The 23,093-nt window shown below is 39.8% G+C and overlaps 1 protein-coding gene and 1 long non-coding RNA gene across 4 annotated transcripts in view; one reads left to right on the top strand and one right to left on the bottom strand.

The window, feature by feature from the left end:
• The window catches only part of CD163L1 (CD163 molecule like 1), a 125,386-nt gene that overhangs the window by 91,081 nt on the left and 11,212 nt on the right, over nucleotides 1-23,093 (top strand). For all 3 annotated transcript variants that reach the window (XR_931282.3, XR_007063068.1, XR_007063067.1), the window contains exon 20: nucleotides 5,926-6,045. The gene's annotated coding sequence lies outside the window, so the exon portion shown is untranslated. The remainder of the gene's footprint in view (nucleotides 1-5,925; nucleotides 6,046-23,093) is intronic.
• On the bottom strand, nucleotides 11,333-14,209 carry LOC101927882 (uncharacterized). The gene is made up of 3 exons (XR_242906.4): nucleotides 14,060-14,209; nucleotides 13,589-13,678; nucleotides 11,333-11,419 (listed from the first exon to the last, which is right to left on the bottom strand). It is a non-coding gene; the product is annotated as an uncharacterized LOC101927882 (long non-coding RNA).

Genomic DNA, 23,093 nt, shown 5'->3' with positions numbered 1-23,093 from the left:
TCTTTAAATATGATTTTCTTTAGTTTTTCAAACTTATTTAAATAGCTGCTTTGAAGTCTTTCTCTATTCAGTCCAGTACCTGGACCTCCTCAGAGCTAGATTTCATTGATTGCTTTTGGTTTTTTTTGGTATGTATAGATCACTTCCCTGTTTCTTTCTTATCTCTTTTTTGTTTGTTTAGAGCTGTACATTTTAGATAATATACTGCAGTAATTCTGGTTTCTAATCTCTCTTCCCCAGGGCAGTTGTTGTTGCTGTTTGTTTTTTGATCTACTTGTCTGTTAACTTGCCTGGACTACATCTATGGACTCTTAAGTCCTCCATACTATGCAGCCTCTGATGTCTCTGCTGAGTTTTTTATTCTTGTTTTTATTTTCAAACCTGGTTTTAAAACAGGTCATCCCTCTATCTGTCTAGCTTAGTGATCAGCCAATAATTGGTTAAATATTGCACCCGAACACACTGAACCAGTAAAGCTTCATCCTCTGCCAATAGATCTCTGTGTGTCAGGGAACATATTCTAAGTTCAAGTACTTTTGAAGTCTGCCCTTGTTTCAAATTTCTCTATAGAGTCTCTTTTGTCTCTTCTTCTGCATGTGTGTGTGGTCTTCAGTCAGTCAGGGCTGTGTGGAATCCTATCTGGCTCATCTATTGCTGTCTCATTTACCAGATTTCCCTGTTAATATCTTCCTAGTCCACTGGTTGTTTCTATTTTTGGAGATGTGGGGAGATGAGAGCAACCCCAGCACTAAAGCCAAAGATTTCCACTGTTCTTACTCTAAGTTGGGTCATTTTTCATGAATAAATAGTTCTCAAACTATTTTTTGCCTTTGGTCAGTTTCCAGAGTTCTAAAATGGTCAGTTTTGACTGTTTTGTTTAGTTTTATAGTTCCTTTAGGGAGACAGGATTTGTCAATCTGTTCATTCTGTCATCTCTCACTTACCAGAGTTAACATTCATATACCATCAATTGCTAATATGATGATTGCCAAAAGTTATTTTTAAATCCATTCATGATTTTTACTTTATTTGTTGAAATTCTACTGTCAGTAAGAGCTTTTTCTTCTTCCCTATTTACTTTATTTCCTTTATTCAATATAAATTAACAAATTCTTATTTCATTGAATGATTATAGCCTATTGCTAACATTATTTATGTTGATGCATAAGCCATCTCATATTTGGCCAGCATATTAGTTCCTCACATTAGTTCCTGTGTCCTTTAGACCCATTTACATCATTCTTGACTTCCTTAACTTATGGGACAATTACAGTTTTCAGGCTTACCTTGTACTTTCTCTTCCCCAGCCCTAGAATCAGGCACCTTTCCAAGGAGCCCTGGTTTATTTTAGAGAGAAATAAAATTTAGAAAGCAATATCTGAATTCTAAGTGATCTAATTGTTTCTGAAGTGTTGTTTGTAGTCTGATATATATTAAATTTGTCCCTCTAAAATTCATATGTTGAATCCCTAACCTCTGCTGTGGCTATATTTGGAGATAGGGCCTTAAGGAGGTAATGTAGGTTAAATGGGATCATAGGGTGGGAATCCCTAATCTGACAGGGCTGCTGCCTAATAAGAAGAGGAAGAGACATCAGAGTGCTCTCTCTTCACCACGTGAGACCACAGTGAAAAGATGGCTGTCTGCAAGCCAGAAAGAAAGCCCTTACCAGAAACCAAATCAGCTGGCACCTTGATCTTGGACTTTCCAACCTCTAGAACTGTGAGAAATAAATTCCTGTGGTTTAAGCTACCAGTCTGTGGTATTTTGTTATGGATGCTCAAGCTAAGACGTACTCATCTCAGCAGAAAGATGGAAAAATAGACATACATACACATGCATGCACACACACATATTACACACATATTTATATGCATTATCTATATATATATCTATATGTATTGATGTATATCTATCCATCTATATATCCATTTATCTATAATATTCTAAATTCATTAGATCAAAGAAGACTTTATAAAGAGACATGACAATTAAGTTCAATGCATGATCCTTGACTGAATCCTGGATAAGAAGAAAAAGTCATTACAAATAATATTATTGAAACAATTGGCAATATTTGAATGTGAACTTTGCATAATATTATATTTTTGTTTGATAATTGTACTAGGTTACATAAAATGATCTTTTTGTTCTTATAAAATACATATTGATGAATTTCAGGTAAAGGGTATGATAATCTGCAGCTCAGGAGAAAGGGGTAAAGGGAATGGAGTAAATGCTAAATGGATAAAGAGGAAGAGTAGTTCTTTTGATATTTTGGCAATTTTTGGTACCTTTAAAATTATGTCAAAATTAAAATGAACAAACATCATTTCTAACATCTGTTTGGGTAATTATCAAAACATCTAGAATTGACTGGAAATAAAAACAGCTGAAAAGCTTATAATAGTAACTTCACAACATCTGATTGTTATCTCCCAGGAAGTAGTTTTCACACCTAAGTATGTATTACTAATAGAGTAACTGTACTATGATATAAATTGACATTTATAAGTTGAGGAAAGAGGACAGAAAGAGACAGGAACAGAAAAGCAGAGACACGAAGATGTGGTAAATGGATGGATAGATGAATATCACAAGTAAGTTAAAGGAAATAACCAACCACGTAACTGTAAGAACTGGCAACCCCAGAATTCCTTAGCTATTTGCACATTGCATTTGGGACTAGAAAAGTCACACACTAAAGATGCTCTCTAAAGTTACATTGTTTCCTGGGATTCACAGAGCTCCAGTTCATGAAAAGTAGCTTTAGATGTGAGGGGTGATTTAAGATTCACATCTTAGGTCTAGGAAATCTCTGTGACTCCAGCTTGGCACCTGGAGCTGCTAATATTCTCTGACTACAACCCAGCTTCTGGAACTGCTTCTGCAACAAAGGTACATGTTTTAGCAAATGAAGATAGCTAAATTTAGGACCATACATTTATTTGCTCAAGAAATGAGTCTGCACACCTCTCTAGTGACTTTCTCCGTAGCTCCTCATATTTTGGCATAAACTCTGCTTCTGGGAGCTCAGAGAAGAGAAGGGAAATATTTAGTTTATTCCCGGGTCCTGCATTTTTTGCATCAGGAGAGAATGTTAGCAATAAAGGCAAAGGGAAGAGGGGGTATGGGTAATTGTTCCCAAGCTATGTCAGTTTCATGTATAAGATATTTTGAAGAGTATGAGATATACTATCACTCCTCAATGAGATCAATGAGATACTTTCTGTGAGAAAGTCTAGGACATCCTAACTACTTTGAAAACATCCTGTCTTCCCCCAGCTTAGTGTATTGTTCCCATTACTCCAGAAAAACATTTCTGAAAAATAATTTATTCAGTCAACATTTGTAGAGTAATTAAAATGCCCAAAGCATAGTACAAGTGGCTGAGGATACACTTACAAAGAAATGTATCTGCCCGCTCGCTCCACATGAGTCAGATCGTTTGGTGTGGCCACGACAATTGTAGGATATGACCCTTATACATCTTTTCATTCTCCCACCTTTCCCTGTGGTTTGTTATTCCAGTCATGTTTTATTACTTGCAATTCCTGAAAGAAATAATTTTTTGCTTAACCATTGACCATTACTAGGATAATTTAACTTCATCTTTCAAAAACAATCTTTTTATTGAGAAATTACTAACTACTATGCATTAAGTCATCCAAATCTCCCAGCAAGCATCCAAGAAGGTTTCCATTAGTTATTTATATTTCCTAGTTGAGGAAAGTATAACTCAATTTGAGAATTTGAAATGTGAGTAATTTCAAAAGAGTGTCAATCACATCTGAACTACTGCAATATTTAACAGACAACCTAGGATATAATTTAAAAATCAATATATAATTAAGGGTTTAGTAAATGTCATTTGATTAAAGATAAGAAAGTAATTTCTGATGTGCTCTACCTGCCATTTCTGGATTTCCACAAGCTTATCAGTCTCTAAACATATTTCCGTAGAGACATTCATGCTTGAATTCTCCACAATTTCTCAACTCAGAATCAAGTCCATCCCAGTTTAGCTAACCAGTGTGGTTTGGACAGAAATCCAGATTCACCGTCTACCTCATTGTAATTTTTCCCCTTAAGTCTCAGAGGAGGGAGCTCACAACCTTGAGCTTGACCTCCCAAAGTGCTGAGATTATAGAGGTAAGCCATCGCACCTGGCCATACTATTTTTCAACTCTTTTGTAAATCTAAAAGTATTCCAAAGTACTCAGTTTTTGAAAAACATTTATTTTGAAAAAAAAAAAAAACATAACAAGGACTTATTACTGCTTTGTGAGGGCCTTCCAGCTTTCCTCTAACCTAAGTAATGAATATTTATTAACTATGTACTATATGTAAAGCCTTGTTTTAAGTGCTTAATGTATTTTACTTCACATGAAAGCCCAATAACTCTGTGAAGTAAGTACTATTAAGATTCTCATTTTTTTTCAGTTAATAAAGTAAAAACTGAGGCTCAGAAAGGTAACTTGCTGAAGGTAACAAAGCTTATAAATGAAGAGCCTGGATTCAAACCCAGGCAGTTTGACTCAATAGCTATATACTAAATGGCATGCTATGTTCTAACCATAGGATCATCCACTAATGGATGGGCTGGAATAGACACATGGACTAAGAAATCTACTGTCACCCATTCTCCTCTTCCTTATTAATAGGGTCATAAGTGGTAAACCATATTCCATTCTCTTCTTACAATCAATAAGATTTTTAGCTAGGTCTGTGCATTAGCTATATTTCTCAACATTCATTACAACTAGTTATGATCATGTGACTGGGTCTCACCAATGAACAGTTGTGATGTGTGCCACTTCCCTGAACAATCCATGCTCTTTCCCCTTGCACAGAGTGGTTGCAGATGATTGACACTCCCTAATGAATGGTAGAGCCTGCTTATGTGGAACTCTGCTCAATATTTTTATTAATTTTAGTATAGCCTATTTACACCTCCTGGTATTATAGACAAATATAAGAAAAAAACAAATTTCTAATAGTCATGAGTGAAGGGGATACTTTAAAAACTACAAATATTTGCCTTTTTTTAACAATGAGGTTTGAAAATGTGTTAATTTAATGATGCAAAGTAGTAAATATTTAAAGAAGAAAAATGTGGGTTTGTGGACATTTGAATGACATGTGAAGCTCATGTGGAAACTCAATAATAGTTCAATGCAACCAGTTTTTAATTTTATATTTGTTATTATTTTATCAAGGGAATGGCAATTGAGAAGTTTCTGGTTGTTTTATTCCATGGCATCCTTAGCATAAGAGACCATTTCTTTTTCTTTTTTTTTTTGAGACGGAGTCTCGCTCTGTCACCCAGGCTGGAGTGCAGTGGCGCGTGAACTTGGTTCACTGCAAGCTCCGCCTCCCAGGTTCACGCCATTCTCCTGCCTCAGCCTCTCCGAGTAGCTGGGACTACAGGCGCCCGCCACCACACCAGGCTAATTTTTTTGTATTTTCAGTAGAGACGGGGTTTCAACGTGGTCTCGATCTCCTGACCTCGTGATCCACCTGCCTCGGCCTCCCAAAGTGCTGGGATTACAAGCGTGAGCCACCGCGCCCGGCCGAGACCATTCCTTTTTACCTTAGAAATTAACCAAGATAAACTGGTTATAAAGATATAAGGAAAGTAACCACCCATTGTCAATGAAGAAAACTATTAGGCTAACTTTTAACATCCCAGAGATTGGGTTACAAAGAATATTTTTAAATAAATACATCAGGTATTCATTAGCCCAAGAGGATCTTTGAAGAGCAATGATTTCCTGGTAAGGAAATTAAAATGTTGGTGCCCCACAAACAAAGATATGTAAACTTAAGTAAACACAATTTTAGAGAAATGAACTGAAAGCTATTGCAATTGTAGACAACAGAGAGAAAAATTTCTGCACTTACAATTAATTTCTTTAAAAATAGAATCTTGATATGTGGGTGATGTTAAGCCCTCCTGACCCAGCAAGTTGAAAACTCACCATGAAGAGCAGCGGTCAAAGGAACTAGGGAAATCCTACAGTGTGATCAGTTTTTCTGCTGCAGGTAAGCAGAGAGCATCCCTTTGCACTGAATAGGCCACTGAGCCGCATTACTGCTTATTAATTCCTCATCATTCCTGCCTCCTTTTATGTTCTCCCTAAATGACTAGGTTTGCGGGGCCAGGAACTTTATTTCCCACAATCCCTAACAGGAAGAATCTGGGCTCGCTTCCACCAGAGAGACTTGTTCATGGAAGATACGGTTTCGCAAGGATCTTTGTACTTGTCCTGAAAACTGCTAGCCTAGATATTACAGCATGGTGCCCTTTAGCAGTGGTTTCCTGGGGGTTTTAAAACTTCCTGATGAGGGTTTTGTAAGCATAATTATTCCCTGTAGTAAACCACTTCCTGCTTAAAATACCTAGGTGTCTCTTTGTTTGTTGTCTGATTTTAGAGCTCTTGGTCTCCTTGAATTTGTTTAACACTGGAAAGAATTACATTTTGGTGAATGGAACAATAGAGCCTTAAGAGTTGCAGTCTCTCATTCCAAATAGTGAAACACAAAGAATGAAACAACATTGGCAGGAAATGTATTGGGCAGACAGAGAAAAAAAAGAGTAAAAGAAATTATACTCAGTAAGAAGTAACCCAAGACTTAAGAAACAAGCAGTAATAGGAAAGACACACACAAGCCAAAAGATAAAGAAAGTAGGAAAAATGATTTTAAAATGTTTTAGAGAATCAGAGTAATAAAAAGAATCAATACAAATTAATAAAAAACATAGAAAAGGGGAGAAATAAAAAATAAAATGGAATAAAAAAGAATAAATGTGGCCCCCAGCAATTTTGGGGGCATCTACAAAAATAAAAGATGATGATGATCTAAAATCACACGAAGTAATACACACCCCAAGGAAACCCATGCAGACATAAGAGACTAACATCCCATGGCTATATTGAATATCTTCTTAATATACATACAGTTTTACAAATATCAGAGTAAATTGGTCATATGGTTTGGATATTTGTTCCACCCAAATCTTATGTTAAAATGTAGGCCCCGAAGTTGGAGATTGGGCCTAGTGGGAGGTATTTGGGTCATAGGCACAGATCCTTCATGTCTTGGTGCCGTCCTTGTAATAGTGAACGAGTTCTCCCAATATATGGTTCTTTAAAAGTGTGGCACGTCCCTGCTCTCTCTTTCACTCCTGCCCTTGCCATGTGATAAGCCACTCTACCCCCTTTGCCTTCCACCATGGTTGTAAGCTTCCTGAGGCGTCATCAGAAGGCATCCAAACAGATGCCAGCACCATGCTGCCTGTACAGTCTGCAAAACTGTGAGTCAATTAAACTTATTTTCTTTATAAATTACCCAGCCTCTGTATTTCATTGTAGCAACACAAGAACAGCCTAACACAGAAAATTGGTGCTGTGGAGTGGGGCATTGCTATAAAGGTGCTTGAAATTATGGAAACAACTTTAGAACTTGGTAATAGGCAGAGGCTGGAAGAGTTGGGAGGACTCAGAAGAAGATAGGAAGATGTGGGAAAGTTTGCAACTTCTTAGAGACTGGTTAAATGGTTGTGACCAAAGTGCTGATAGTGATATGAACAGAGAAGTCCAGGCTGGGGAAGTCTCAAATGAAATTGAGGAACTTAATGGAAACTGGAGTAAAGGTTACTCACATTATGCCTTAGCAAAGAGCTTGGCTGCTTTCTGTTCATGCCCTAGGGATCTATGGAAGTTTCAACTTAAGTGATGACTTAAGGCATCTGGTGGAAGAAATTTCTAAGCAGTGAAGCATTCAAGATGTGGCCTGGCTGCTTCTACCAGCCTATATTCAGCTACAGGAGCAAAGAAATGACTTAATGTTGTAATTTATATTTAAAAGAGAAGCAAAGCATAAAAGTTCAGATAATTTGTAGCCTAGCCATGTGGTGGAGCAAAAAAAAAAAAAAAGCATTATCAGTAGAGAAATTCAAATGGGCTGTGGAGCAACCACTTTCTAGAGATACTTGCATAACAAGAAGGGAGTCAAGTGCTGATAGCCAAGACAGTGAAAAAGAGGCCCTGAAGGCATTTCAGAGATCTAAGAAGCAGCCCCTCCCATCACAAGCCCAGAAACCTAAGAGGAAAGAATGGTTTCAGGGGCCAGGCCCAGGGCCTACTGCCCTGTGCAGCCTGGGGACACTGCTCCTCACATCTGCTCCAGCTGCAGCCTCAGTTCAAAGGGACCCAGATACAGTTGTAGCAGCAGCTTCAGAGAGCACAAGCCATTTGCCTTGGTGCCTTCCATGTGGTTTTAAGCATGTGAGTACACAGAATCCAAGAGTGAAGAAGGATTGGCAGCCTCAGCCTAGATTTCAGAGTATTTATGAGAAAGCCTGGGTGCCCAGGCAGAAACCTGCTGCAAGGGTGGAACACTCACAGAGAACTCTAGGGCAATACCAAGGGGAAATGTGGGATTGGATGTCCCACACAGACTCCCCATTGGGGCACTGCTGAGTGCAGTTGTGGGAAGGGGGCTATCACCTTCCAGACCCAAGAATGGTAGATCCACCAGCAGTTTTCAATCTCAGCATGAAAAAGCCAAAGGGGCAGAGCTGCCCAAGGCCTTGGAAGCCTACCCCTTGTACCAGTGTGCCCAGGATGTGGTACATGAAGTTAAAGCAGATTATTTTGGACATTTAAGGTTTAATGACTGAGCTAGGTATGGTGGCTCATGCCTGTAATTCCTGCACTTTGGGAGGCCGAAGCAGGCAGATTGCATGTAGTTGAGAGAGGTGAACAAAGAGGAGGAGTTAGAGACCAGCCTGGGCAACATCTGTGCAAAAAAATAAAAAATTAGCCAAGTGAGGTGACACATGTCTGTAGTCCCAGCTCCTAGGGAGGCTGAGGTAAGAGGATCACTTGACTCCAGGAGGTCAAGGCTGCAGTGAGCCACGATAACCCACTGCACTACAGCCCAAGTGACAGAACAAGACCCTGTCTCAAAAAAAACAAACAAAAAAAAAGGCTTAGTGATTGCCCTGCTGGGGTTTCAGACTTGCTAGGGGCCTGTTGCTCCTTTCTTTTGGACCATTTCTCCCTTTGGAATGGGAATGTTTACCCACTGTGTACCCCATTGCATCTTGGAAGTAAATAAAGTGAGTTTGATTTCATAGGTTCATATGTAGAAGTAACTTATCTCCAGATGAGACTTTGAAGTTGGACTTGGGACTTTTGAGTTAATATTGGAGTGAGTTAAGACTCTAGAGGACTATTGGGAGGGCATGAGCAAATCTGGCAATGTGAGGACATAAGATTTGGGGGGCAAGAGGTGAAATGATATGGTTTGGATATTTGTCCCACCCAAGTATCATATTGGAATGTAATCCCCAATATTGAAGTTGGGGCCTGGTGGGAGGTGTTTGGGTCATGGGGATATATCCCTCATGGCTTGCTGCTATCCTCAGGATAGTGAGTTCTCACAAGATCTGGTTGTTTAAAAGTTTGTGGCACCTCCCTGCTCTCTCTTTTGCTTTTGCTTTTGCTTTCTCTGTATGATATGCTGGCTCTCCCTTTGCCTTCCACCATGATTATAAGCTTCCTGAGGCCTCATCAGAAGCCAATAAGATGCCCAGCACTATGCTTCCTGTACATCCTGCAGAACCATGAGGTAATTAAATCTCTTTTCTTTATAAATTACCCAACCTCAGGTATTTCTTTGTAGCAATGTAAGAATGGCATTGAGATTGAGATTTCAACCATTCTTTGTCACAAATTGTTATAATTATGAGACAGTGAAGAGACTTTCGCAAATCGTTTTAACTTCCCATTCCATCCTGAAATTCCTCCCATAACTGTTCTGACAGGTAGCACCAGACTTTAACATTTCTACTGACAAGAGTTCCTTTCATCTCAAAACAACCTATTCCATAACTCCAGTTCAGATATTTCTCTCCTCCTCTTTCTTTCTGTCTCCTTCTCTCTCTCTCTCTTCCTCCACCTCTCTCTTTCCCCATCCCTAATATCCTCTAATGTATCTAACTAGAGGTTTCCACTTGGCTGTCTTATTGACCCATAATGACAAAAGATATTGCGTGTAGTTGAGAGAGGTGAACAAAGAGGAAGAGCAGGTAAACAGGTATAAATTGGTGAAGATAAGAGAGATTATGGGATGAGATTTACGTGAAAAGAAAACCTGATGTGGGAGAGGAAAGAGAAGAAGTACTTTCATTTGACACTAAATAAATAATATTTTGGAGTCCATGAAGCTTTGGGTAGAAAATAAAAACTGTAGCAATTTCTTCCCCATGCATCTTTCTCCACTTGCCTGTAGTCCCAGCTACTTGAAAGGCAGAGACAGGGGGATTGCTTGAGCTGGGGAGGTCCAGGCTGCAGTGAGCCGTGATCGTGCCACTGCACCACTGTTTCCTTGGGTAAGTGTCATGCTCCTCTCCAAGGCTGGAGGAAAATGCAACCTGTATAGAACATTTTTGCTGAGACCAGCTCGGTTGGGGAGACCCTAACCCAGTGGTGCTAGAGGAATTAAAGACACACACAAGAAATATAGAGGTGTGGAGTGGGAAATCAGGGGTCTCACAGCCTTCAGAGCTGAGAGCCTCGAACAGAGATTTGCCCACGTATTTATTAACAGCAAGCCTGTGATAAGCATTGTTTCTATAGATTATAGATTAACTAAAAGTATTCCTTATGGGAAACAAAGGGATGGGCCAAAATAAAGGGATGGGTTTGGCTAGTTATCTGCAGCAGGAGCATGTCCTTAAGGCACAGATGTTCATGCTATTGTTTGTGGTTTAAGAATGCCTTTAAGTGGTTTTCCACCCTGGGTGGGTCAGCTGTTCCCTGCCCTCATTCCAGCAAACCCACAACCTTCCAGTGTGGGTGTCATGGCCATCATGAACATGTCACAGTGCTGCAGAGATTTTGTTTATGGCCAGTTGTGGGGCCAGTTTATGGCCAGATTTTGGGGGGCCTGTTCCCAACACATTTTAGAATGTCTGGGTGATATTTCTGTGTGACCATCTTGAGTGGGGAGAGAGGAAGGACTCAGCTGTGGCCTGGGATTCAGAGTTTGCTGAGTCATATAGTGTGAGATTTGAACTGACTAAAATCAGTTGTGTGGAAGAAGTTAGAAGTTCAACAAATTTCTTGGTAACACTGAACTTTTCTGAGAGTCTCAAAATATTTATTACCATTTTTTCAATATAAACATCGATAATAAGGGTCTCAGAATTTCTCATCTCTCTGGAATGTAATGTCACAGGTAATTCCATATAGGCTAAATGACTCTCAAACTGAAGGCCCAGGGGTATAGATTTCAGCCTCAGAATCCCTGGGTTCTTTTGTCACTTTCACAAATAGTAATGGGTCGTTTCCCATCCCATTTTTCTTCCCTCCCAGAACTCCTCTCCTTGGTGACTCCAGAGGACAGCCTGAAACAACAAGAAAATTGCTTGGTTATATCTGTGACCTAGCAGAATGGCTGCACACATTTTAGACAGCAGAAACAATGCAAGAGATACAGATTGTAAAAATTTCTGTACATCATAAAACACTTAGAGCTATCATGTTAGGACAGGACTATGTAACTCTTGACCCATAGTCTGGAAAATATTTGTTACAAGAGATTATTATTTCTCAAGCTGAATACACAAAAAAATGGAAAAGAGGAAACCACAGTTCCAGAACATTTGTTCCTCAGTGACAGGTCAACTCTTTCTTTGCAATTATGTCCTGATTCCCATATCTATGCAGATAATCCCAACCTGTATAGATTGTCCATAAATGAATGTTACCTGAACTCTGAAAGTCGTCAAATGTCCCACAACTTTTATCTTACATAACAAACAGAAAATAAATAGATATTTTCTACATCAGCTCTACTGCTTCTAGAGCTAATGTTCTGTGACTTTATTTTTAAAATCTGGACTAATGTTCTTCTCATCCAACCCAAGAAACTTAAGTAAAGAAAATTAATCTATTATACTAGGAGCAATGGTCACCATAAGGTAGGAAAATGTCAAAAATATGTCCATATTTTAGCAACTTCCCACACTTTGGACACATACAGAATTAGCACAAAAGTCATTTGATGGTCCAAAGAACTAACATTTGAATTTGGAAAATGTGGTCATAATAGCATAATTTGTATGCATCAGTGAATGGGAATGGGGTTGTGGGAGGCATATTCAGATTCTGAGTAGGCTTCTGTCTCATACACCAACTTGCAGAAAAGTGGAAGTTGACGTATAAGAGAGATATGAGCCGATTCAGATTCTGAACTCTCTGAAATGCTCTTGGTCATTTACAAGAAGCCCTTGATAATAAGCCTGGGTCTCTCTGCCCTTCCATGGGGGAGATACTCCTCTCACTCATTGCTGGAATGGAAAGCTTCAGACAAAGCCACCCATTTGAGAGCCCTTTGAAATCATCTCTTGGAGTATTGTTCCTCTGCCTATGGGTTCTAAGGGCAAACAACAGTCTCAGGAACAATAGCAGGTGAGGAAGTGGTACATGAATTGAAGTGAGGAATTAAAGACATTTGTACAAACAACTGGGAGTTACAGTGACTTCATGTGAACTTTGCGGTAATACACTTTTCCAACTATAAGTATTAAATTATATATTCTCACTATAAATTATATATTCTAATTTATGTAATTGCAGTGTTTGGAGAGACATTCTGATGGTCTACAATTGAAATCATCATATACTTTTATTATGGTGGGGAGGCGACAACCCAAAAATGTGGTACCATTCTTCCCTTGAGTTAATAAGCAAAAATGTTCCCAAATCCAAATATGTACTCAGACAGAAATGTATTTTCACCCTGTTTTACTTATCTCAAAGCAACACAAGAACCTTTTACAGACTAGGCATTTTCATTTTGTATGAGGGAAACCTCTTCAGGGTATCTATAGGACATATCCATAAAAAGTTGTGCAGCAGTGGGCACAAAGAACCCTGGAATTTAGCGTGTTCCCTCTCTGTGATCTTATGAGGGAGCCAAAAAGACAGCAGAAAAGGAACTTAGAGCTGACCTTGACTGGAGAGGCAGGTTCCATAATATACACAACCTGCAGGAATTATGATTAACACATGGTCGTAATGTCACCCAAAAAAGTGGACTTTCAGTCTCCTCAGGCTGTTTGTATGATGATCTCATACCTACAAAGTCCCTCTGCCCTTATCCTATCACAAAAGCAAATTTATAACCACTTCCTGGAGACAAGCCACCTTTCTTTTCATTGTCTAGCATGAAAAAATGATATCTAAGTCACTGAGTCACATAAGAGGCAACCTCCCTAGTAGGAAGAGAAATATCACAAGTATAAATGGCAAAAGAAACTTTTCAACCAGCAAGAGTTAAGGGGGCTCAGAATCAAACCTCTGCCTGAAAAATATTCTCTCTAGAGAGAAGTCTCAGTGGTCTTAGTCTAAGCTTAGAGGAAGAGAGGTCATGCACACACTTTGAAGAGACTGTTTCACTGAGACCAGAACTGAGCATGGGGTTAGCTATCTGGCACATAGACTGTGGAACTGACTAGAGTTGCCAGCTTATGGCCAAAATAACCCAGAGGTGAAGGGCAAAGAATACTTACCTGGCCTTTCTAGATGGTCCATCTTTATCTCACTGTTTTTTTTGTCCTTATGCACAGTGTTATGCAGAGAATACCTGCATCTGATCAAGACTAAGACAAAGCATACTGCATCAGAGACTATCATCTGAAAACTCTCTCAAATATCCCCAGATTCCAAACAGTGTCCCATATCTTTATAGTGGGTATTACTATTGGTTCAGTCAGGGCCCAAGATACTTTCTTATGCTCCACAAGGATACTAGGAATGGACTTCTTAGTCTAGTTTTGTTCTGTGTCCTCCAAGTATTTAAATTGTATATAAGATTATAATTTCTAAGAACTCTAAGTCCAGGGTCATTGAGCCTTGGAGACCAGAGAAGAGCAAGCATTATTTTCTTGTTTCTCACATTATAATAGGTATCTTGCCCTCTCTTCATACATTTATTATCTCACTATATTTCCCTGTGCCCTCAGGCCCACCATGACACTTACATTTCTTTATGTGCTGGTCTATCTCAAGTAAAAAGGGAGATAACATGGCAAAAAGAAAAAATACAAAAAGCACAGCAAACACAGCATAGAGCCAAGGAACACCATTTGGGAATAAACTGGCTCCTGGTTCAACCACCACCATTAGGATGTGAGAGAGGACATGGAATTCTCTGCCCAGCTCTGCCATCTCCTAGGTGATTAAAGTGATGAAATCACAACTTCAGACACAATGGGAGTGCTGAAGATCTGGGTGGAAATTGGCTAAGCCTCATCCCATATGTGCCATATAGGAATGATAAATCTCAGGCAGTTTCCCTTCCACCACAGGTCTATTGAGCCTAAAACACTAGATCAGCGGGGTAGACCAGGAGGAAGGTAGGTTACTAGACAGATATTCAGAGTAAGCATCTCACTGCAAAAGAACCACATCTGTGTACAAAGGGAAGGGCCTGTTTCCCTAGACTTCTCAGCCCTAGAGCCAATCTTACTCAGCAAAGTGTTATCTAAGTTGAAGCACCAAGGAAAGCATATTTTCCTGAATAAAGACTTCAAGTTTTTTTCCCTAAAATTCCTGGCATTCCCTGTCTTAACATGCTTATTCATGTCAGGAATATCTCCTGTGTATCATGAAATCTCCCCAAAACATGTGTCAACATGAAGGGAACAATTTATTTTTCTTTTTATTTATTTATTTTTAAAAATTATACTTTAAGTTCTGGGATACGTGTGCAGAATGTGCAGGTTTGTTACATAGGTATACATGTGCCATGGTGGTTTGCTACACCCATCATCCATCATCTACATTCAGTGTTTCTTCTAATGCTATTCCTCCCCTTGCCCTTCTTCCTCCGACAAGCCCCAGTGTGTGACATTCCCCTCCCTGTGTCCATGTGTTCTCATTGTTCAGCTCCCAGTTGTGAGTGAGAACATGCGGTGTTCAGTTTTCTGTTCCTGTGTTAGTTCGCTGAGAATGAGGGTTTCCAGCTTCATCCATGTCCCTGCAAAGCACATGAACTCATTCTTTTTTATGGCTGCATACTATTCCATGGTGTATATGTGCCACGTTTTCTTTATCCAGTCTATCATTGATGGACATTTGGGTTGGCTCCAAGTCTTTGCTATTGTATAGTGCTGCAATAAACATACGTGTGTATGTGACTTTATAGTAGAATGATTTATAATCCTTTGGGTATACACCCAATAATGGGATTGCTGGATCAAATGGTATTTCTGGTTCTAGATCCTTGAGGAATCGCCACACTGTCTTCTACAGTGGTTGAACTAATTTACACTACTAATAACAGTGTAAAAGCGTTCCTATTTCTCCACATCCACTCCAGCATCTCTTGTTTCTTGACTTTTTAATGATCACCATTCTAACTGGCGTGGGATGGTATCTCATTGTGGTTTTGATTTGCATTTCTCTAATGACCAGTGATGATCTTTTTTTGGTATGTTTGTTGGCTGCATAAATGTCTTGTTTTGAGAAGTGTCTGCTAATATCCTTTGCCCACTTTTTGATGGGATTGTTTGTGTTTCTCTCATAAACTTGTTTAAGTTCCTTGTAGATTCTGGATATTGGCCCTTTGTCAGATGGATAGATTGCAAAAATTTTCTCCCATTCTGTAGGTTGCCTGTTCACTCTGATGGTAGTTTCTTTTGCTGTGCAAAAGCTCTTTAGTTTAACTAGATCCCATTTGTCAATTTTGGCTTTTGTTGCCATTGCTTTTGGTGTTTTAGTCATGAAGTCTTTGCCCGTGCTTATGTCCTGAATGGTATTGCCTAGGTTTCCTTCTAGGGTTTTTATGGTTTTAGGTCTTACATTTAAGTCTTTAATCCATCTTGAGATAATTTTTGTTTAAGGTGTAAGGAAGGGGTCCAGTTTTTGTTTCTGCATATGGCTAGCCAGTTTTCCCAACATCATTATTAAATAGTGAATCCTTTCCCCATTACTTGTTTTTGTCAGGTTTGTGGAAGATCAGATGGTTCTCGATGTGTGGTGTTATTTCTGAGGCCTCTCTCCTGTTCCATTGGTCTATGTATCTGTTTTGGTACCATTACCATGCTATTTTGGTTACTGTAGCCTTGTAGCATAGTTTGAAGTCAGGTAGCATGATGCCTCCAGCTTTGCTCTTTTTGCTTAGGGTTGTCTTGGCTATACGGGCCCTCTTTTGGATCCATATGAACTTTAAAGTAGTTTTTTTCTAATTCTGTGAAGAAAGTCAATAGTAGCTTGATGGGAATAGCATTACTTTACAAGGTATGGCCATTTTCACGATATTGATTCTTCCTATGCATGAGCATGGAATGTTTTTCCATTTGTTTGTGTCCTCTTTTTCTTTTTTAATTATTATTATTATACTTTAAGTTTTAGGGTACCTGTGCACAATGTGCAGGTTAGTTACATATGTATACATGTGCCACATTGGTGTGCTGCACCCATTAACTTGTCATTTAGCATTAGGTCTATCTCCTAATGCTGTCTCTCCCTGCTCCCCTCACCCCACAACAGTCCCCAGTGTGTGATGTTCCCCTTCCTGTGTCCATGTGTTCTCATTGTTCAATTCCCAACTATGAGTGAGAACATGTGGTGTTTGGTTTTTTGTCCTCGCAATAGTTTGCTGAGAATGATGGCTTCCAGCTTCATCCATGTCCCTACAAAGGACATGAACTCATCATTTTTTATGGCTGCATAGTATTCCATGGTGTATATGTGCCACATTTTCTTAATCCAGTCTATCATTGTTGGACATTTGTGTTGGTTCCAAGTCTTTGCTATTGTGAATAGTGCCGCAATAAACATACGTGTGCATGTGTCTTTATAGCAGCATGATTTATAATCCTTTGGGTATATACCCAGTAATGGGATGGCTGGGTCAAATGGTATTTCTAGTTCTAGATCCCTGAGGAATCGCCACACCGACTTCCACAATGGTTGAACTAGTTTACAGTCCCACCAACAGTGTAAAAGTGTTCCTATTTCTCCACATCCTCTCCAGCACCTGTTGTTTCCTGACTTTTTAATGATTGCCATTCTAACTGGTGTGAGATGGTATCTCATTGTGGTTTTGATTTGCATTTCTCTGATGGCCAGTGATGATGAGCATTTTTTCATGTGTTTTTTGGCTGCATAAATGTCTTCTTTTGAGAAGTGTCTGTTCATATCCTTTGCCCACTTTTTGATGGGGTTGTTTGTTTTTTCTTGTAAATTTGTTTGAGTTCATTGTTGATTCTGGATATTAGCCCTTTGTCAGATGAGTAGGTTGCAAAAATTTTCTCCCATTCTATAGGTTGCCTGTTCACTCTGATGGTAGTTTCTTTTGCTGTGCAGAAGCTCTTTAGTTTAATTAGATCCCATTTGTCAATTTTGCCTTTTGTTGCCATTGCTTTTGGTGTTTTAAACATGAAGTCCTTGCCCATGCCTATGTCCTGAATGGTATTGCCTAGGTTTTCTTCTAGGGTTTAGGTTTTTATGGTTTTTATGGTTTTAGGTCTAACATGTAAGTATTTAATCCATCTTGAATTAATTTTTGTATAAGCTGTAAGGAAGGGATCCAGTTTCAACTTTCTACATATGGCTAGCCAGTTTTTCCCAGCACCATTTATTAAATAGGGAATCCTTTCCCCATTGCTTGTTTTTGTCAGGTTTGTCAAAGATCAGATAGTTGTAGATATGTGGCATTATTTCTGAGGTCTCTGTTCTGTTCCATTGGTCTATATATCTGTTTTGGTACCAGTACCATGCTGTTTTGGTTACTGCAGCTTTGTAGTATAGTTTGAAGTCAGGTAGTGTGATGCCTCCAGCTTTGTTCTTTTGGCTTAGGATTGACTTGGTGATGCAGGCTCTTTTTTGGTTCCATATGAACTTTAAAGTAGTTTTTTCCAATTCCGTGAAGAAAGTCATTGGTAGCTTGATGGGGATGGCATTGAATCTATAAATTACCTTGGGCAGTATGGCCATTTTCATGATATTGATTCTTCCTACCCATGAGCATGGAATGTTCTTCCATTTGTTTGTATCCTCTTTTATTTCATTGAGCAGTGGTTTGTAGTTCTCCTTGAATAGGTCCTTCACATCCCTTGTAAATTGGATTCCTAGGTATTTTATTCTCTTTGAAGCAATTGTGAATGGGAGTTCACTCATGATTTGGCTCTCTGTTTGTCTGTTATTGGTGTATAAGAATGCTTGTGATTTTTGCATATTGATTTTGTATCCTGATACTTTGCTGAAGTTGCTTATCAGCTTAAGGAGATTTTGGGCTGAGACAATGGGGTTTTCTAGATACACAATCATGTCATCTGCAAACAGGGACGATTTGACTTCCTCTTTTCCTAATTGAATGCCCTTTATTTCCTTCTCCTGCCTGATTGCCCTGGCTGGAACTTCCAACACTATGTTGAATAGGAGTGGTGAGAGAAGGCATCCCTGTCTTGTGCCAGTTTTCAAAGGGAATGCTTCCGGTTTTTGCCCATTCAGTATGATATTGACTGTGGGTTTGTCATAGATAGCTCTTATTATTTTGAGATACATCCCATCAGTACCTAATTTACTGAGAGTTTTTAGCATGAAGGGTTGTTGAATTTTGTCAAGGGCCTTTTCTGCATCTATTGAGATAATCATGTGGTTTTTGTCTTTGGTTCTGTTTATATGCTGGATTATGTTTATTGATTTTCGTATGTTGAACCAGCCTTGCATCCCAGGGATGAAGCCGACTTGATCATGGTGGATAAGCTTTTTGATGTGTTGCTGGATTCAGTTTGCCAGTATTTTATTGAGGATTTTTGCATCAATGTTCATCAAGGATATTGGTCTAAAATTCTCTTTTTTGGTTGTGTCTCTGCCAGGCTTTGGTATCAGGATGATGCTGGCCTCATAAAATGAGTTAGGGAGGATTCCCTCTTTTTCTATTGATTGGAATAGTTTCAGAAGGAATGGTACCAGCTCCTCCTTGTACCTCTGGTAGAATTCGGCTGTGAATCCATCTGGTCCTGGACTTTTTTTGGTTGGTAAGCTATTAATTATTGCCTCAATTTCAGAGCCTGTTATTGGTCTATTCAGAGATTCAACTTCTTCCTGGTTTAGTCTTGGGAGGGTGTATGTGTCCAGGAATTTATCCATTTCTTCTAGATTTTCTAGTTTATTTGTGTAGAGGTGTTTATAGTATTCTCTGATGGTAGTTTGTATTTCTGTGGGATTGGTGGTGATATCCCCTTTGTCATTTTTTATGGTGTCTATTTGATTCTTCTCTGTTTTCTTCTTTATTAGTCTTGCTAGTGGTCTATCAATTTTGTTGATCTTTTCAAAAAACCAGCTCCTGGATTCACTGATTTTTTAAGGGTTTTTTGAGTCTCTATCTCCTTCAGTTCTGCTCTGATCTTAGTTATTTCTTGCCTTCTGCTAGCTTTTGAATGTGTTTGCTCTTGCTTTTCTAGTTCTTTTAATTGTCATGTTAGGGTGTCAATTTTAGATCTTTCCTGCTTTCTCTTGTGGGCATTTAGTGCTATAAATTTCCCTCTACACACTGCTTTAAATGTGTCCCAGAGATTCTGGTATGTTGTGTCTTTGTTCTCATTGGTTTCAAAGAACATCTTTATTTCTGCCTTCATTTCGTTATGTACCCAGTAGTCATTCAGGAGCAGGTTGTTCAGTTTCCATGTGGTTGAGTGGTTTTGAGTGAGTTTCTTAATCCTGAGTTCTAGTTTGATTGCACTGTGGTCTGAGAGACAGTTTGTTATAATTTTTGTTCTTTTACATTTGCTGAGGAGTGCTTTACTTCCAACTATGCGGTCAATTTTGGAACAGGTGTGGTGTGGTGCTGAAAAGAACGTATATTCTGTTGATTTGGGGTGGAGAGTTCTGTAGATGTCTATTAGGTCCGCTTGGTGCAGAGCTGAGTTCAATTCCTGGGTATCTTTGTTAACTTTCTGTTAACAGGTGAGATGTGTTTCCTGGTGAGATGGGTTTCAGGTGAGATGGGTTTCCTGAATACAGCACACTGATGGGTCATGACTCTTTATCCAATTTGCCAGTCTGTGTCTTTTAACTGGAGCATTTAGCCCATTTACATTTAAGGTTAGTATTGTTATGTGTGAATTTGATCCTGTCATTATGATGTTAGCTGGTTATTTTGCTCATTAGTTGATGCAGTTTCTTCCTAGCATCAATGGTCTTTACAATTTGGCATGTTTTTGCAGTGGCTAGTACTGGTTGTTCCTTTCCATGTTTAGTGCTTCCTTCAGGAGCTCTTTTAGGGCAGGTCTGGTGGTGACAAAATCTCTCAGCACTTGCTTGTCTGTGAAGTATTTTATTTCTCCTTCACTTATGAAGCTTAGTTTGGCTGGATATGAAATTCTGGGTTGAAAATTCTTTTCTTTAAGAATGTTGAATATTGGCCCCCACTCTCTTCTGGTTTGTAGAGTTTCTGCTGAGAGATCAGCTGTTAGTCTGATGGGCTTCCCTTTGTGGGTAACCTGACCTTTCTCCCTGGCTGCCCTTAACATTTTTTCCCTCATTTCAACTTTGGTGAATCTGACAATTATGTGTCTTGGAGTTGCTCTTCTCGAGGAGTATCTTTGTGGCGTTCTCTGTATTTCCTGAATTTGAATGTTGGCCTGCCTTGCTAGATTGGGGAAGTTCTCCTGGATAATATCCTGCAGAGTGTTTTCCAACTTGGTTCCATTCTCCCCGTCACTTTCAGGTACACCAATCAGATGTAGATTTGGTCTTTTCACATAGTCCCATATTTCTTGGAGGCTTTGTTCATTTCTTTTTATTCTTTTTTCTCTAAACTTCTCTTCTCGCTTCATTTCATTCATTTCGTCTTCCATTGCTGATACCCTTTCTTCCAGTTGATTGTATTGGCTACTGAGGCTTGTGCATTCGTCACATAGTTCTCATGCCGTGGTTTTCAGCTCCATCAGGTCCTTTAAGGACTTCTCTGCATTGGTTATTCTAGTTATCCATTCATCTAATTTTTTTTCAAGGTTTTTAACTTCTTTGCCATTGGTTCGAACTTCCTCCTTTAGCTCAGAGTAGTTTGATCTTCTGAAGCGTTCTTCTCTCAACTTGTCAAAGTCATTCTCCCTCCAGCTTTGTTCTGTTGCTGGTGAGGAGCTGCGTTCCTTTGGAGGAGGAGAGGCGCTCTGATTTTTAGATTTTCCGGTTTTTCTGCTCTGTTTTTTCCCCATCTTTGTGGTTTTATCTACCTTTGGTCTTTGACGATGGTGACATACAGATGGGTTTTTGGTGTGGATGTCCTTTCTGTTTGTTAGTTTTCCTTCTAACAGTCAGGACCCTCAGCTGCAGGTCTGTTGGAATTTGCTGGAGGTCCATTCCAGACCCTGTTTGCCTAGGTATCAGCAGCGGTGGCTGCAGAACAGCGGATATTGGTGAACCGCAAATGCTGCTGCCTGATCGTTCCTCTGGAAGTTTGGTCTCAGGGGAGTACCCGGACGTGTGAGGTGTCAGTCCGCCCCTACTGGGGGGTGCCTCCCAGTTAGGCTACTCAGGGGTCAGGGACCCACTTGAGGAGGCAGTCTGCCTGTTCTCAGATCTCAAGCTGCATGCTGGGAGAACCACTGCTCTCTTCAAAGCTGTCAGACAGGGATTTAAGTCTGCAGAGGTTATTGCTGCCTTTTGTTTGTCTGTGCCCTGCCCCCAGAGGTGGAGCCTACAGAGGCAGGCAGGCTTCCTGGAGCTGTGGTGGGCTCCACCCAGTTTGAGCTTCCTGGCCACTTTGTTTACCTACTCAAGCCTGGGCAATGGCAGGCGCCCCTCCTCCAGCCTCGCTGCCATCTTGCAGTTTGATCTCAGACTGCTGTGCTAGCAATGAGCGAGGCTCTGTGGGCGTAGGACCCTCTGAGCCAGGTGTGGGATATAATCTCCTGGTGTGCCATTTGTTAAGCCCATTGGAAAAGTGCAGTATTATGGTGGGAGTGACCCAATTTTCTAGGTGCCATCCGTCACCCCTTTCTTTCACTAGGAAAGAGACTTCCCTGACCCCTTTTGCTTCCTGGGTGAGGCGATGCCTCGCCCTGCTTCAGCTCGTGCACGGTGCACTGTACCCACTGTCCTGCACCCACTGTCCAGCACTCCCTAGTGAGATGAACCTGGTACCTCAGTTGGAAATGCAGAAATCATCCGTCTTCTGCGTCACTCATGCTGGGAGCTGTAGACTCGAGTCTTAGTTCTAAAAGGAAACTGACCTGCCACCTTGCCAGAGGAACTCTTGAAATGTTTTTGTAGCCACTTGGACTTCAGCATGAAGGGTACAACTCTCAAATCTTGCTATATAACCCACCTGGAGGAACCACAAAACCAAATTAAATAGCATTTTCTCTCCTTTTCCCAGTGCTAGTGTATGACTGGATGAGGAACCCTTTCTCTAAATTTGCTCAGCCTGAAATTTTATCTCTGAAGGAAGAGAGTGAACTCAGCCCTAGTTAGACAGTTCTAGGTTTCTGTGAAATAGGAGTATTCTTCAACTTAATCCTAACACTCACTTACCATGAGGGTTCCCTGCAGGGGTTCCCTGAATTTGAAAGCTTTTTCAAGGACTGTTCCTGGGTAAAACAATTGAAAAAGGCTAGAAGAGACAGACACCAACAAAGTCTGTGAAGTAAACTGTCTAGATTAAGAATATTGAGGGGCTGTAAAGTTAGCTTACGGAAATGGACTTATTATTAAGTTTTGAAAAGTAGTAAAAATGTTAGGCTTCCCACACAGGTGGCTATGTTTATTTAATGGCTAGTGAACATAGGAATATATTTTTAGCCTCCTAGCTAGTGTTTTTGCTTGGTAAACCAGACTAGAAGGATTTGAGAGGGGCAAAGAGAATAGGCAGGACCTTCCTTCCATAGCTTTAGATATTTAGAATGTTAACTCTTACTGATGTTGAAGTTACCTTGAAAGGATTGATAAGAGGATTATTAAAATCACTTAGGTGAATAGGGAGGATAGGATTTTGGTGCCTTCTTCAGTAGACTTGCTCCAAGACAAAGATTCTTTTGATAGTATAAGACCAAAGGACTCAGA

The sequence above is a fragment of the Homo sapiens genome, chromosome 12, assembly GCF_000001405.40.
Source record: "Homo sapiens chromosome 12, GRCh38.p14 Primary Assembly".
Lineage (NCBI taxonomy): Eukaryota > Metazoa > Chordata > Mammalia > Primates > Hominidae > Homo > Homo sapiens.
Note: the sequence above shows the minus strand (reverse complement) of the source record. Positions and strands in the feature narration are given on the sequence as shown.